At 37.5% G+C, this 15837-nt stretch overlaps 1 protein-coding gene across 1 annotated transcript in view; it reads left to right on the forward strand.

Moving 5' to 3' along the window:
- Positions 1–15837, forward strand: part of GFRAL (GDNF family receptor alpha like) — a 75025-nt gene that overhangs the window by 30751 nt on the left and 28437 nt on the right. Inside the window, exon 6 of the mRNA NM_207410.2 lies at positions 669–919. Coding sequence (NP_997293.2) covers positions 669–919 — 251 coding nt within the window. The remainder of the gene's footprint in view (positions 1–668; positions 920–15837) is intronic.

A 15837-nucleotide genomic window follows, 5' to 3' on the forward strand; every position in this document is an offset into this window, starting at 1 on the left:
GTAAAAAGCAATTTTCGGTGACAAACATTAAATTGAAATAATTTTATTCTTGCATTCATTAATAAAAATATATTCTTATTGTAAAAAAATTCAAAAATGAAATTAGTGTACATTATCCAGACTTTTTTTCAATTTTATTACAGCAATAATCAAATACATACAGAAATTTTATACCTCACAACATATTGTAAATTCTAATTAGTCTGTTTAGTCTCTTGAGAAAGTATAAAGCGCCTCCCATCCTGTGGGATAACTGACTTGAAAAGTCAAATACCTTACTTGAAATCACTTGGTGTGACACAGTGGCCAAAGGCTAGCCACAAAACTATATTTGGAATAAAAAATTGCCAATAAATCTCTGAAGCAGTTCATGCCTCAAATAGTCATACATTGGAATAAAATTAGTAATAAAGGAAAATCCATCCGTGGAATCCTCAACTTAACTGCTGTCTTTCATCACAAAAAAGGGACAATAATTCACAATATTACTCTACAATTTCTTCCACACTACCTATGGTGATTTTTCAAATCACAAATTTACTTTTCAACTATGTACTGGCATCTCGAAGGCATTGTGTTCTATGTCTTTCATTAGGTGAGGGGGGATCACATGTTAATGTGAAATAACACTATTCAAAACTAATTATTTTTCTTCACTCTTTCTCTAGGAGGCACTATAGAACATTTCAGTCAAAATGCTGGCAGCGTGTGACTAGAAAGTGCCATGAAGATGAGAATTGCATTAGCACCTTAAGCAAACAGGACCTCACTTGTTCAGGAAGTGATGACTGCAAAGCTGCTTACATAGATATCCTTGGGACGGTCCTTCAAGTGCAATGTACCTGTAGGACCATTACACAAAGTGAGGAATCTTTGTGTAAGATTTTCCAGCACATGCTTCATAGAAAATCATGTTTCAGTAAGTTCCCCAAATAAAATTATCTGTCTATCTATCTATCTATCTATCATCTATCTATCTATCTATTTTGTTTTTGCCTATACAGTAAAAGAGGTAATCCAGCACAGACATTTTTGTGTTTGGTATTGCATTTGAAAATTTGCTTTCTGATTATGTTCTGTGTATTTGCTATTTTACTCACTTACTTGAAAATAGTACATTTTAAAAATTTATATGATAGGTCACTCTTAATTATCATTTATTGATTTCAATATCAAAAGCATAGAAGGTTTATTCTATCAGATAAATGGATATATCAAGTATCAATTGCTGCATAACAAACCATAAGTATCTATACTAAGTAACAAAACAATGGCTTAAAACGATAACCATTTATTTGCTCACAATTCTGCACATTGGACTTGGCTCAGCTGGATGGCTCTTCCGATGGTCTTTTGGGGGGTCACTCATGTGCCTATAGTCATCTGGTATCTTTAGGCTCGGCTGAGGCTGTTTGGTCCAAGGTGGTATTAGCAGACACCATTTTCTGGTGTGGTGTGGTTCACTTCAATATGACATCTTCAGCAATATAGCCAAAAACTCTTATGTGGAAGCAGAAGAGTTCCTAATGGCTAAACCCCATTGTGTAGCTGTCTAGTATCTGCTACTGTCACATTTGTAATTATTTCACTGAACAAAGCAAATCACAATGGCCAACCTCAGAGTCACTGTGGGAGTGGACTACATAAGGATATGAATATTCAAGGTCAGATTAATCAAGGATCATTACTCTAACAACCTACTATGATTGGCTGTCCTGGCCTATGTACAATATATTCACTCTTCAATTTAGTTTTTCTCCCCTTGGTCTTTAACATGTCTGCTGATCAACCTATAATGATGAAATGGAAAACATATTTTCCGAAGTTATTGTTTAATTTAGGGACAAGAAAATTGATATTTAGGAATTTAAATAATTTGTTCAGCATCTCAAAGTGAGCTAATGGTCAAGAAGGACTTTCATGAGTCTTAAGGAAACAACCTAAGGATGTGATCATGTAATAATTCAAAACCTCTCTATTATCCATCTTCAGGGTTAGACCATGCAACCTTCGACGTCCCCAAACTTCCCCAGGCCCCTACCCCTAGATCCCTAGCTGTAACTACCATATCTGCAGGTACTGTTTCTAGAAGGAAGTAATGGATATTTACTGTTTCATAGCAAACCAAATCTTTATATTTATTGAAAATGTTTGACAGACATAGATCTATATCTACATCTATATCTATATCTATATCTGTATCTATATCTATATACAGATGCATATTTACACATTTATATTTCTATTTTTCTTTACAGATACTTAGGAGATGCACATTAGCCAATGTGCTAAAAATTGTGATTTGTTGTATATTATGTAATAGGCATACAGCTCAGAGTTTATGGTTTTGATTTCGACAGTGTTTTCTGTGGAATATCCACAATTTCTATAATTAACACTACAGATATATTTCAACTGAAATCACGATACAGAGAAGAATTGAAGTGTTATATAAGTCATATTCTCTAATTTTCCTCTCTTATTAACATTAGTTCTGTTGAAACTGAAAATACTTATAATGAATGGCTCATATGATTACAGCAGGAAAATACCAAATAACCAATTTGGTATTAACCAAACTAAACTTATAGTAATATATACAGTTATATAATAATGGTTATTTATAGGTTCTTTCTAATATTACAAGGTATGAAGAAAAATGTTGATTCTACAGGTTAATAATGATTCAATTTATTTGGCAAAAATTCTCTAAAAATACAGGTCTAAACATCCTAATTCTAGTTCTAAACATGTTTTTCTCAAATATAATAACAATTGTGTTCAATTTTCATAGTGTTTGCTTACTATAACCTTTTCAGAGCAAAAAATTTGCAGAGGCACTAAAGATAGACATTTAAAATTGTGTAAATATTAAAGTTCTGTATGAATGCTTTAAAGAATGAAAATTCAAAATGATTTCACTTTTCTTTACTCACCTAGGAAGAGGAAGTTTTTGCTCCAAATATTACCTACTAAGACTAGGAATTTCAAATGACAGGATTATAGAATTAAAGGAACCTCAAAGGCCTTTGGTCACAGTTCTTGGTAGAATTGTCCCTTGGTATCCATGGGGAATTGGTTCCAGGACTCAAATGGACACCAAAATTTGTTCATGTTCAAGTCCCTGATATAAAATGGTGTAGTATTTGCATATAACCTATGTATATCCTCCCATATACTTTAAATAATATCTAGAATACTTATAATATCTAATACATGATTTACATATAAATGTCATGTAAATTGTAGTTATAATGTATCTTTTATATTCATATTATATTTTATCATTTTGCTGTTTTTTTAAAATTATTTTTTTCTCTCAAATATTTTGATCCAAAGTTGGTTGAGTCGAGGGGTGCAGAACTCACAGGTATGGAGTGATGACTATACTTGAATTAATAGGAAAAATTCCAAACAAAACCAGAAACCAAATCCTTAGGCCTTGCTAATTCTAACAAACCTTTATCCATTGCCTCAAATATATGAAAGTAGCACAAGGACATTTGCTGAAGGAAGTATGTCTCTCATCATTGCCCCGACTTCTCACATCAGCCTAGCACTCTCATGAATTTTCAAAAGATCGGTCATTACAGTATGTTTCTAAAACCCTTTAGCTTCTGCTTTCTTTACTTGAAAGGGTCAGAACTGAGTGGAACTGAGAGGACTGTGAAGGGAGGCTTTTCAGTTTGTCACATTTGCTTAATTAAATGCATTGTTTCTCAAACTCATTTGAGCTTAGGCCACAGTAAGTAATATATGTTTATATTAGCACTGTACTCTCATTTTTATGCAACATACTCTGTTTGTTAACAATTTTTATTGCTTTATTCTATTGTTCCCCAATGCTGACCACTACCCACTAAATTATTTTAAGACTTACTAACATGTTGTTCACTGAAGTTTCAAAAACACTTTCTTGGAACAAAAATTTTTCTGGAAATAAATTTATGAGATTAAATAGCTTGCCCAGGGTTCTACATTGGGTGTGGTATAGTCATGACCCTGGCTGGTTGACTTGGAGCCCGCTATGTTCTCCTGTTTGTGAAATGATAATGAAAAAAAAAAAAACAGCAACAACAAAACAAAACAAAACAAAAAACTTATATCTGTTCCATATGCTCCAAAGTCCTATTAGTCTGAACTTCATAGTTCTGTTCTGAGAACTAAGCTTGGAAAATGCACTGAAGAGCCCTTATCTGGTCCTGTGTGCAGGACTAGACTCAGGCAGAAGAGCATCCTGAACAAACCATGTATTCTGTCACCAACCTCCACTTACCTACTAACCTATGGATTCACAACAAACTTACTTGTCTGTGATAATCTGTAGCACAGAACAAATTTGTGGCCCTTAGAGCTAATAGGGAAATGAGAGCCATGGAAGAGAGAGAAGTTGGTTAAGAGACAGAGGACCATCAACACGGGAAGGATTAAAGGATCCATTATTGTTTTCAGTCCATTATACCGAAGGAGTGAGAGGGTATACCTTAAGCTGACAGAAATGTTCTTTTTGCATTTCCCAGAGCTTTTTTTTATTTAAATACCAGTTATATAGTCAACTAAAAGAGATATGAAATACCACCATTCTGACCCAAAATATTCAGATCCTCCATGTGGATAATTAAAAGAAAAAGGAGAAAGAAAAGGAGGAAGAGGAAAAGGAAGGGGCAGGAAGGGAGAGGGAAGAGAAAACAGGAAGGAAGAGTAGGAGAAGAAGTAGGAGGAGAGAAAGGAGAGGAGGAGGAGAAGGGGGAGGAGGGGAGGAAGAAGAGGAAACAGGAAGGAGGAAAAGAACAAGGAGAAGAAGTAGGAGACAAAAGAGGGAAGGTAGAGGAGGAGGAGGAGAAAGAGGATTAAGAAAAAGCAGAAAACCTCTGTTTAGTAAATTCTACAAGAGATGGAAAACATAGCAATACAAAAAAAAAAGCATGTGATACATGCTTAAACAAATTTAAAGAATACAGAAATAATCCCATTCTCAAGAGAGAGCCAATGTTCATAAGGTTGGTGTATATTCTTTTGAACTTTTTCTTTACTTGTAATACATACATACTTTGAATACCTTGTATATACCCAAACATGTCTCCTTTACTCTGATACACACACACATTTTTTAAGGCAATCAAACTATACTTATTGCTTTACAGGTTCCTTTTTAAACTTAAAAAATATATGGTAGACCCATTTCCAAGTATTTACATACATGGTAGCTTAATTCTTTTTTTTTTTTTTAATTATACTTTAAGTTTTAGGGTACATGTGCACATTGTGCAGGTTAGTTACATATGTATACATGTGCCATGCTGGTGCGCTGAACCCACTAAATCGTCATCTAGCATTAGGTATATCTCCCGATGCTATCCCTCCCCCCTCCCCCCACCCCACCTCAGTCCCCAGAGTGTGATATTCCCCTTCCTGTGTCCATGTGATCTCACTGTTCAATTCCCACCTATGAGTGAGAATATGCGGTGTTTGGTTTTTTGTTCTTGCGATAGTTTACTGAGAATGATGATTTCCAATTTCATCCATGTCCCTACAAAGGACATGAACTCATCCTTTTTTATGGCTGCATAGTATTCCATGGTGCATATGTGCCACATTTTCTTAATCCAGTCTATCATTGTTGGACATTTGGGTTGGTTCCAAGTCTTTGCTATTGTGAATAATGTCGCAATAAACATACGTGTGCATGTGTCTTTATAGCAGCATGATTTATAGTCCTTTGGGTATATACCCAGTAATGGGATGGCTGGGTCAAATGGTATTTCCAGTTCTAGATCCCTGAGGAATCGCCACACTGACTTCCACAATGGTTGAACTAGTTTACTGTCCCACCAACAGTGTAAAAGTGTTCCTATTTCTCCACATCCTCTCCAGTACCTGTTGTTTCCTGCCTTTTAAATGATTGCCATTCTAAGTGGTGTGAGATGGTATCTCATTGTGGTTTTGATTTGCATTTCTCTGACGGCCAGTGATGATGAGCATTTTTTCATGTGTTTTTTGGCTGCATAAATGTCTTCTTTTGAGAAGTGTCTGTTCATGTCCTTCGCCCACTTTTTGTTGGGATTGTTTGTTTTTTTCTTGTAAATTTGTTTTAGTTCATTGTAGATTCTGGATATTAGCCCTTTGTCGGATGAGTAGGTTGCGAAAATTTTCTCCCATTTTGTAGGTTGCCTGTTCACTCTGATGGTAGTTTCTTTTGCTGTGCAGAAGCTCTTTAGTTTAATTAGATCCCATTTGTCAATTTTGTCTTTTGTTGCCATTGCTTTTGGTGCTTTAGACATGAAGTCCTTGCCCATGCCTATGTCCTGAATGGTAATGCCTAGGTTTTCTTCTAGGGTTTTTATGGTTTTAGGTCTAACGTTTAAGTCTTTAATCCATCTTGAATTGATTTTTGTATAAGGTGTAAGGAAGGGATTCAGTTTCAGCTTTCTACATATGGCTAGCCAGTTTTCCCAGCACCATTTAATAAATAGGGAATCCTTTCCCCATTGCTTGTTTTTCTCAGGTTTGTCAAAGATCAGATAGTTGTAGATATGCGGCGTGATTTCTGAGGGCTCTGTTCTGTTCCATTGATCTATATCTCTGTTTTGGTACCAGTACCATGCTGTTTTGGTTACTGTAGCCTTGTAGTATAGTTTGAAGTCAGGTAGCGAGATGCCTCCAGCTTTGTTCTTTTGGCTGAGGATTGACTTGGTGATGCGGGCTCTTTTTTGGTTCCATATGAACTTTAAAGTAGTTTTTTCCAATTCTGTGAAGAAAGTCATTGGTAGCTTGATGGGGATGGCATTGAATCTGTAAATTACCTTGGGCAGTATGGCCATTTTCACAATATTGATTCTTCCTACCCATGAGCATGGAATGTTCTTCCATTTGTTTGTATCCTCTTTTATTTCCTTGAGGAGTGGTTTGTAGTTCTCCTTGAAGAGGTCCTTCACATCCCTTGTAAGTGGGATTCCTAGGTATTTTATTCTCTTTGAAGCAATTGTGAATGGGAGTTCACTCTTGATTTGGCTCTCTGTTTGTCTGTTGTTGGTGTATAAGAATGCTTGTGATTTTTGTACATTGATTTTGTATCCTGAGACTTTGCTGAAGTTGCTTATCAGCTTAAGAAGATTTTGGGCTGAGACAATGGGGTTTTCTAGATATACAATCATGTCATCTGCAAACAGGGACAATTTGACTTCCTCTTTTCCTAATTGAATACCCTTTATTTCCTTCTCCTGCCTAATTGCCCTGGCCAGAACTTCCAACACTATGTTGAATAGGAGTGGTGAGAGAGGGCATCCCTGTCTTGTGCCAGTTTTCAAAGGGAATGCTTCCAGTTTTTGCCCATTCAGTATGATATTGGCTGTGGGTTTGTCATAGATAGCTCTTATTATTTTGAAATATGTCCCATCAATACCTAATTTATTGAGAGTTTTTAGCATGAAGGGTTGTTGAATTTTGTCAAAGGCTTTTTCTGCATCTATTGAGATAATCATGTGGTTTTTGCCTTTGGCTCTGTTTATATGCTGGATTACATTTATTGATTTGTGTATATTGAACCAGCCTTGCATCCCAGGGATGAAGCCCACTTGATCATGGTGGATAAGCTTTTGGATGTGCTGCTGGATTCATTTTGCCAGTATTTTATTGAGGTTTTTTGCATCAATGTTCATCAAGGATATTGGTCTAAAATTCTCTTTTTTTGTTGTGTCCCTGCCTGGCTTTGGTATTAGAATGATGCTGGCCTCATAAAATGAGTTAGGGAGGATTCCCTCTTTTTCTATTGATTGGAATAGTTTCAGAAGGAATGGTACCAGTTCCTCCTTGTACCTCTGGTAGAATTCGGCTGTGAATCCATCTGGTCCTTGACTCTTTTTGGTTGGTAAGCTATTGATTATTGCCACAATTTCAGCTCCTGTTATTGGTCTATTCAGAGATTCAACATCTTCCTGGTTTAGTCTTGGGAGAGTGTATGTGTCGAGGAATTTATCCATTTCTTCTAGATTTTCTAGTTTATTTGTGTAGAGGTGTTTGTAGTATTCTCTGATGATAGTTTGTATTTCTATGGGATCGGTAGTGACATCCCCTTTATCATTTTTTATTGCATCTATTTGATTCTGCTCTTTTTTTTTCTTTATTAGTCTTGCTAGTGGTCTATCAATTTTGTTGATCCTTTCAAAAAACCAGCTCCTGGATTCATTAATTTTTTGAAGGGTTTTTTGTGTCTCTATTTCCTTCAGTTCTGCTCTGATTTTAGTTATTTCTTGCCTTCTGCTAGCTTTTGAATGTGTTTGCTCTTGCTTTTCTAGTTCTTTTAATTGCGATGTTAGGGTGTCAGTTTTGGATCTTTCCTGCTTTCTCTTGTGGGCATTTAGTCCTATAAATTTCCCTCTACACACTGCTTTGAATGTGTCCCAGAGATTCTGGTATGTTGTGTCTTTGTTCTGGTTGGTTTCAAAGAACATCTTTATTTCTGCCTTCATTTCGTTATGTACCCAGTAGTCATTCAGGAGCAGGTTGTTCAGTTTCCATGTAGTTGAGTGGTTTTGAGTGAGATTCTTAATCCTGAGTTCTAGTTTGATTGCACTGTGGTCTGAGAGATAGTTTGTTATAATTTCTGTTCTTTTACATTTGCTGAAGAGAGCTTTACTTCCAAGTATGTGGTCAATTTTGGAATAGGTGTGGTGTGGTGCTGAAAAAAATGTATATTCTGTTGATTTGGGGTGGAGAGTTCTGTAGATGTCTATTAGGTCCGCTTGGTGCAGAGCTGAGTTCAATTCCTGGGTATCCTTGTTGACTTTCTGTCTCGTTGATCTGTCTAATGTTGACAGTGGGGTGTTAAAGTCTCCCATTATTAATGTGTGGGAGTCTAAGTCTCTTTGTAGGTCACTCAGGACTTGCTTTATGAATCTTGGTGCTCCTGTATTGGGTGCATATATATTTAGGATAGTTAGCTCTTCTTGTTGAATTGATCCCTTTACCATTATGTAATGGCCTTCTTTCTCTCTTTTGATCTTTGTTGGTTTAAAGTCTGTTTTATCAGAGACTAGGATTGCAACCCCTGCCTTTTTTTGTTTTCCATTTGCTTGGTAGATCTTCCTCCATCCTTTTATTTTGAGCCTATGGGTGTCTCTGCACGTGAGATGGGTTTCCTGAATACAGCACGCTGATGGGTCTTGACTCTTGATCCAATTTGCCAGTCTGTGTTTTTTAATTGGAGCATTTAGTCCATTTACATTTAAAGTTAATATTGTTATGTGTGAATTTGATCCTGTCATTATGATGTTAGCTGGTTATTTTGCTCGTTAGTTGATGCAGTTTCTTCCTAGTCTCGATGGTCTTTACATTTTGGCATGATTTTGCAGCAGCTGGTACCGGTTGTTCCTTTCCATGTTTAGTGCTTCCTTCAGGAACTCTTGTAAGGCAGGCCTGGTGGTGACAAAATCTCTCAGCATTTGCTTGTCTGTAAAGTATTTTATTTCTTCTTCACTTATGAAGCTTAGTTTGGCTGGATATGAAATTCTGGGTTGAAAATTCTTTTCTTTAAGAATGTTGAATATTGGCCCCCACTCTCTTCTGGCTTGTAGGGTTTCTGCCAAGAGATCCGCTCTTAGTCTGATGGCGTTCCCTTTGAGGGTAACCCGACCTTTCTCTCTGGCTGCCCTTAACATTTTTTCCTTCATTTCAACTTTGGTGAATCTGACAATTATGTGTCTTGGAGTTGCTCTTCTCGAGGAGTATCTTTGTGGCGTTCTCTGTATTTCCTGAATCTGAACGTTGGCCTGCCTTCCTAGATTGGGGAAGTTCTCCTGGATAATATCCTGCAGAGTGTTTTCCAACTTGGTTCCATTCTCCCCATCACTTTCAGGTACACCAATCAGATGTAGATTTGGTCTTTTCACATAGTCCCATATTTCTTGGAGGCTTTGCTCATTTCTTTTTATTCTTTTTTCTCTAAACTTCCCTTCTCACTTCATTTCATTCATTTCATCTTCCATCGCTGATACCCTTTCTTCTAGTTGATCGCATCAGCTCCTGAGGCTTCTGCATTCTTCACGTAGTTCTCGAGCCTTGGTTTTCAGCTCCATCAGCTCCTTTAAGCACTTCTCTGTATTGGTTATTCTAGTTATACATTCTTCTAAATTTTTTTCAAAGTTTTCAACTTCTTTGCCTTTGGTTTGAATGTCCTCCCGTAGCTCAGAGTAATTTGATCGTTTGAAGCCTTCTTCTCTCAGCTCGTCAAAGTCATTCTCCGTCCAGCTTTGTTCCGTTGCTGGTGAGGAACTGCGTTCCTTTGGAGGAGGAGAGGCACTCTGCTTTTTAGAGTTTCCAGTTTTTCTGCTCTGTTTTTTCCCCATCTTTGTGGTTTTATCTACTTTTGGTCTTTGATGATGGTGATGTACAGATGGGTTTTTGGTGTGGATGTCCTTTCTGTTTGTTAGTTTTCCTTCTAACAGAGAGGACCCTCAGCTGCAGATCTGTTGGAGTACCCTGCCCTGTGAGGTGTCAGTCTGCCCCTGCTGGGGGGTGCCTCCCAGTTAGGCTGCTTGGGGGTCAGGGGTCAGGGACCCACCTGAGGAGGCAGTCTGCCCATTCTCAGATCTGCAGCTGCGTGCTGGGGGAACCACTGCTCTCTTCAAAGCTGTCAGACAGGGACATTTAAGTCTGCAGAGGTTACTGCTGTCTTTTTGTTTGTCTGTGCCCTGACCCCGGAGGTGGAGCCTACAGAGGCAGGCAGGCCTCCTTGAGCTGTGGTGGGCTCCACCCAGTTGGAGCTTCCCGGCTGCTTTGTTTACCTAAGCAAGCCTGGGCAATGGCGGGCGCCCCTACCCCAGCCTGGCTGCTGCCTTGCAGTTTGATCTCAGACTGCTGTGCTAGCAATCAGCGAGACTCCGTGGGCGTAGGACCCTCCGAGCCAGGTGCTGGATAGAATCTCATGGTGCGCCGTTTTTTAAGCCCGTCGGAAAAGCGCAGTATTCGGGTGGGAGTGACCCGATTTTCCAGGTGCCGTCCGTCACCCCTTTCTTTGACTCAGAAAGGGAACTCCCTGACCCCTTGCGCTTCCCAAGTGAGGCAATGCCTCGCCCTGCTTCGGCTCACGCAAGGTGCGCGCACCCACTGACCTGCGCCTACTGTCTGGCACTCCCTAGTGAGATGAACCCGGTACCTCGGATGGAAATGCAGAAATCACCCATCTTCTGCGTCGCTCAGGCTCGGAGCTGTAGACCGGAGCTGTTCCTATTCGGCCATCTTGGCTCCTCCCTGCTTAATTCTTTTTAAAGGTCATATCATATCTTATAGTAGAGCTATATCATAATTGTTAACTAATCTCCTGTTAATGTGGATATTTTGTTTGAATGCAATTGTTTTTACAGACATTGCTGCAATAAATGTTATTGCACGTATGTACTGGCATTTGAATAGAGTAAGTTTCAAATAGTGGAATTACTAGACCATAAGATTTGTGCATTTTTAAATTTGGTAGACACTGAAAAAAAAACAGTTTGTTTCTGTTACATTTTAATGAGAAAGTTTCAATATTTTTAATTTGTATTTTTATTATAAATAATATGGAACATCTTTTCAGTGACTTGTTGGAGATATTCTGTTTCTTCTTACCTACTCCTGTACTGTGCTTAAAATATCCTGCTTCTTTAGTCTCAGTAAATGACACTTTTGTTGCCTGTGTCAGCTGTTTGTGTGGATATGTGAAGACTCATTGATCTGCATACCTCCTTAATGATCCTGATCACAAAGTGATGACCTGGTGGGTCATAGCCTTGGGCTTGGAACTGGACCCTACTATGTGTTATCTGAGTGATGTAAAGAGCAAAGTTTTAAAATCATTTTTTGAATATTCAACCATTCTTCCTCAACTGGATAATTTCCATTGCTTTTTGAAAGGATAATTTTCACTACATGATTAATAGTCAGAAAACAAAATTTATAATATAAATATAATTATGAAAAATAATTATATTTATCATTCAGTTAAAGAAAAATAACATTGTCATGATTTTTGAAGTTCTTTTAAGTGTCTCTCAACATCACATTCTTTTCTTTCCCAATACAGAAATTAGTGTTGATTAATTCCTTGCTTCCCTTTCTAATTTTGCCACATTAAAAAAAATCCAATCAATATATTGTTTAGTTTTTCATGTTTTGAGCATTATATAAATGGAATCACATTTTTTTGCCCCTTTAGTATCCTGAAATGAAGCCATGTTGTGATGTAGAACTAGTGACTTATTTTTTACTGCTATGTAATATTCTATTGCAAATACATCTATTTATTCTATAGCTGGCATATGTTAGGATTTTTCCATTTTAAAAAATTGTAAATAGTGTAGCTTGATCATCTTAGTACATTTTTCTTGATACACACATGCAAGATAATTCTCTAGGGAGCAGTTCTCAATCTTTGCTAAACGTGAGAATCATTGAGAGATTAAAAATTCTCATGTCCAATAAACCAATAAAATCACATTATATAATGGCAGGACGTGACAGTAGGACCAGCTTCATGGACATGTGGCCAATGTAGTTACATAGGCCCTGTGCTCAGAAGAATCCCAGATCTGGGGTTTAATGCTCTGCAGTCATTGTCGAAATTCTTAATAATTTTCTTTTGCTTTTGTTTTTGAAATTCAATGAAATAATAAAGCACACAAGAGGTGGCTTGGAGCCTCAGCACATGTGTGTTTCTGTGTCTTGCCATTTCGCATCTTCTTAGGGGCAAGCAAGTTCTCAGCTGCCTGCTCCCCATCCTCTGATGCTGGGCCCTGCCCAACACCCCTTCACTTCGCCATCCTGCAACTGCTGCCAGACATTTGTCTATTTTCTAAAAAGTGATATTGAGCCTTCCAATCCACAGATATATATTTTTTTCTTTCCTGTCTTATAATAAATTTTTGTTACTTTCACAATGAAAAGTAATTTCTAAATAAATTTTTTCATAACTTTTGCTATCTATAATTATTTCTAGGTATGGCCCAAATATTACAATTGCTATTGAAAGTCATATTTTCTCAGGATTATACTGTCAAACTCTTCATGGTTGAACTATAGAAATTCATTTGATTTCTACACATAAATTCATGTGTAGCAAAGTTGTTAAACACTCATAGATTTTGACAATTTATGGAATTATTTTGTTCTTCCTTTTAGCTAACCATATACTCGTCAATAATCACAGTTTTGTTTCTTTTGTTCAATGCTCATGCTTTTTTTTAATCCTCCCCACCACTTCCTATAACATCTAGGACCTACAGAAAAAAAGTGAAATATAAATGGTGATAGTGAGCACCCTTGCCTTGTTCCTGATCTTGAAGAGAATTATCTCATCATTTACCATTAAGTCTGACATTTGTCACAAGTTTTTTGTAGATACTGCAGATTGGAATAAAGAAGTTATCTTCTATTCATGGAATGCAAATCACTTTTAAACAACAAATGAATGCTGAATTTTATTAAATGCTACTATACATTTGAAGATCTCATCTGAAATTTGTTCAGTACTTTTTAGTCATTGTCTTGTGGTAGAGTGATTTGTCATGGTTCTAATATTGTTAGACTATCAGAAATAGAACTAAAGTATTCATTTAAACACATTCAAGAATCTCTATTTGTACAAAAAGGAAAAAAAACAGACACAAATAAACCCAACTTATTCATTAGCACCATGTCTTTTCCCCTTTCACAGACAAATTTTCCAGAAGAGTTGCCTGGGTTTATTGTTTCAATTTCCTTTTCTCTAACAGGTTGATCCACCCTTTCCAGTCTGGCTTCTGGGTATAGATCCACTCACAAAAGCAGCTTTCCCATAGGTTATCAACAACATCCATTTCAGAGGGCCTGGAGGTCCTTGTCTTATTTGGATTTTAAGCTACCTTCAAGAACAATTGATATACTTTTCTTTCTTGATATACTCCCCTCACACCTTAGCTCCTATTCCTCTGATCACCCTGAATGCTCCTCTTATTTCTACTTTGTAGGCTTATCCAATTGGCTAATTAATATTTGTGTTTCAAGACTCAGCTGTAGATTCTCTACTAAAGTACTGCTATAATCTTCCCCAAGGAGATCCCATCCATGCCCATAGCATCATCACTTCTTATAATGACTTACAATCTTCAAGGAGACCTCTTTTCTAAGATTCCAACCCAATTGCCTGTCCTCCTACTTGATATATTCTTTAGGATTTTGAGATTGTGATATAACAAATAAGCTCCAGAAGCTCAGTGGCTTTACAGAATGGAAGTTTATTTCTTGGGAGCATTAAGTCCAATCAGCATTAACATTGGTCATTTAGAGGACTAGCCTCTTTCCTACATGCAGCTCTACCTCAGCATAGGACCTCTAAGTCTTCCCTACTCAGCAGAGGATAGGAAAATAAAAAATGTGGTTTGCCTCACAGTCATAAAGGAGCATTTTATGGTTCGATGGTGGCAACAGTGCATATCACACACACTCATGGTCCACTGGCCCCAACTCAGTCACACGGCCACACTTATCTCCAGGGAGACAGGGAACTATAGTCTAGCTTTGTGCCAGGAGGAAAGGCAATTGTAATTGTTAATCAACAAATAAGTCTCTGCAACAATTTACCCTTCCTCTTAGCAAATTTCCGTTGCATTTTTCTCTTCACACAGAGAATATGCTTATTCCTTCTCCATTGGAGACATCTTAATGTTTTTCAAATTTTTATTCAGCATCAGCCGCGAACTCAAAGCCCTGAATGTTAAAAGATGTGCAAGCTAAATGTTGTGGCACCTTGTAATAGACAGGAAACCCACTGCCATCTTCCCGACACAGACACCAAACACTAACACACCCAAACCCCCACTATAAACCTACATATAGTATCAGGGACAGCAAAACCTCAAAAAAAAAAAAAAACTTCTATTCAAAATCAGGAAAAATGGGAGAACAATAACACACAGTGAGATCCTATACTATAGGCATTGTGCAGCCTCTCTGGCAGTGTGGATTTCAGTAAGGAGAACCTGAATCAGATATCTGTGAAGAACCACCTTCTGTGGCTCCTATTTTATCCTCTGAAAGGTTCTTCCTTGACCGTATTTTTCCACGGCCATATCTGAAATAGGTTTGGCGGAGTACACCCTCCTCGGGGAACATGGAATGTTCATAGCCAAATCCTGTTCATAGAGTTTGAAGGACTGAAAGTTGTTTTAAAGTTTAACAGTCACAGACTTTTGCAAGCAGACTGGTGGCTCCTTTGGCAATATAATCTCTTAAAAATGTGTTAGATTTCTCATGTACTTGCTTTTTATCAGTTACATGTGCCAGTATTCACAATAAAAAATTTTTCTTGACTTAGTTCCCAAGTTTGCCTTATTTCTTTCCTTCCTCACCTCTGTGCCTCTCTCTCTCTCATTTAATAATTTAAGCTAATCTAAACAATAGACTGTGTAATAAGGTAATACTCTTAATCTGAGATTTGCTCCATCATTGAATCAATTTATTTAACTTAGAAATACTAGGCCTTTTATGACTGGAGATATTTTCCTTTGTTTTCTTCAACTTTTTTTTTTTAAGTTCTGGGATACATGTGCAGGATATACGGTTTGTTACATAGGTAAATGCATGCCATAGTGGTTTGCTGCACAGATCATCCCATCACCTAGGTATTAAGCCCAGCATCCATTAGCTATTCTTCCTGATGCTCTCCCTCCTCCCACCAGCCACCTGACAGGCTGCAGCATTTGTTGTTCCCACTGTGTGTCCATGTGTTCTCATCATTCTGCTCCCACTTATAAGTGAGCACATGCAGTGTTCGGTTTTCTGCTCCTGTGTTAGTTTGCTGAGGATAATGGCTTCCAATTCCATCCA

This window comes from Homo sapiens, chromosome 6 (assembly GCF_000001405.40).
Source record: "Homo sapiens chromosome 6, GRCh38.p14 Primary Assembly".
NCBI lineage: Eukaryota > Metazoa > Chordata > Mammalia > Primates > Hominidae > Homo > Homo sapiens.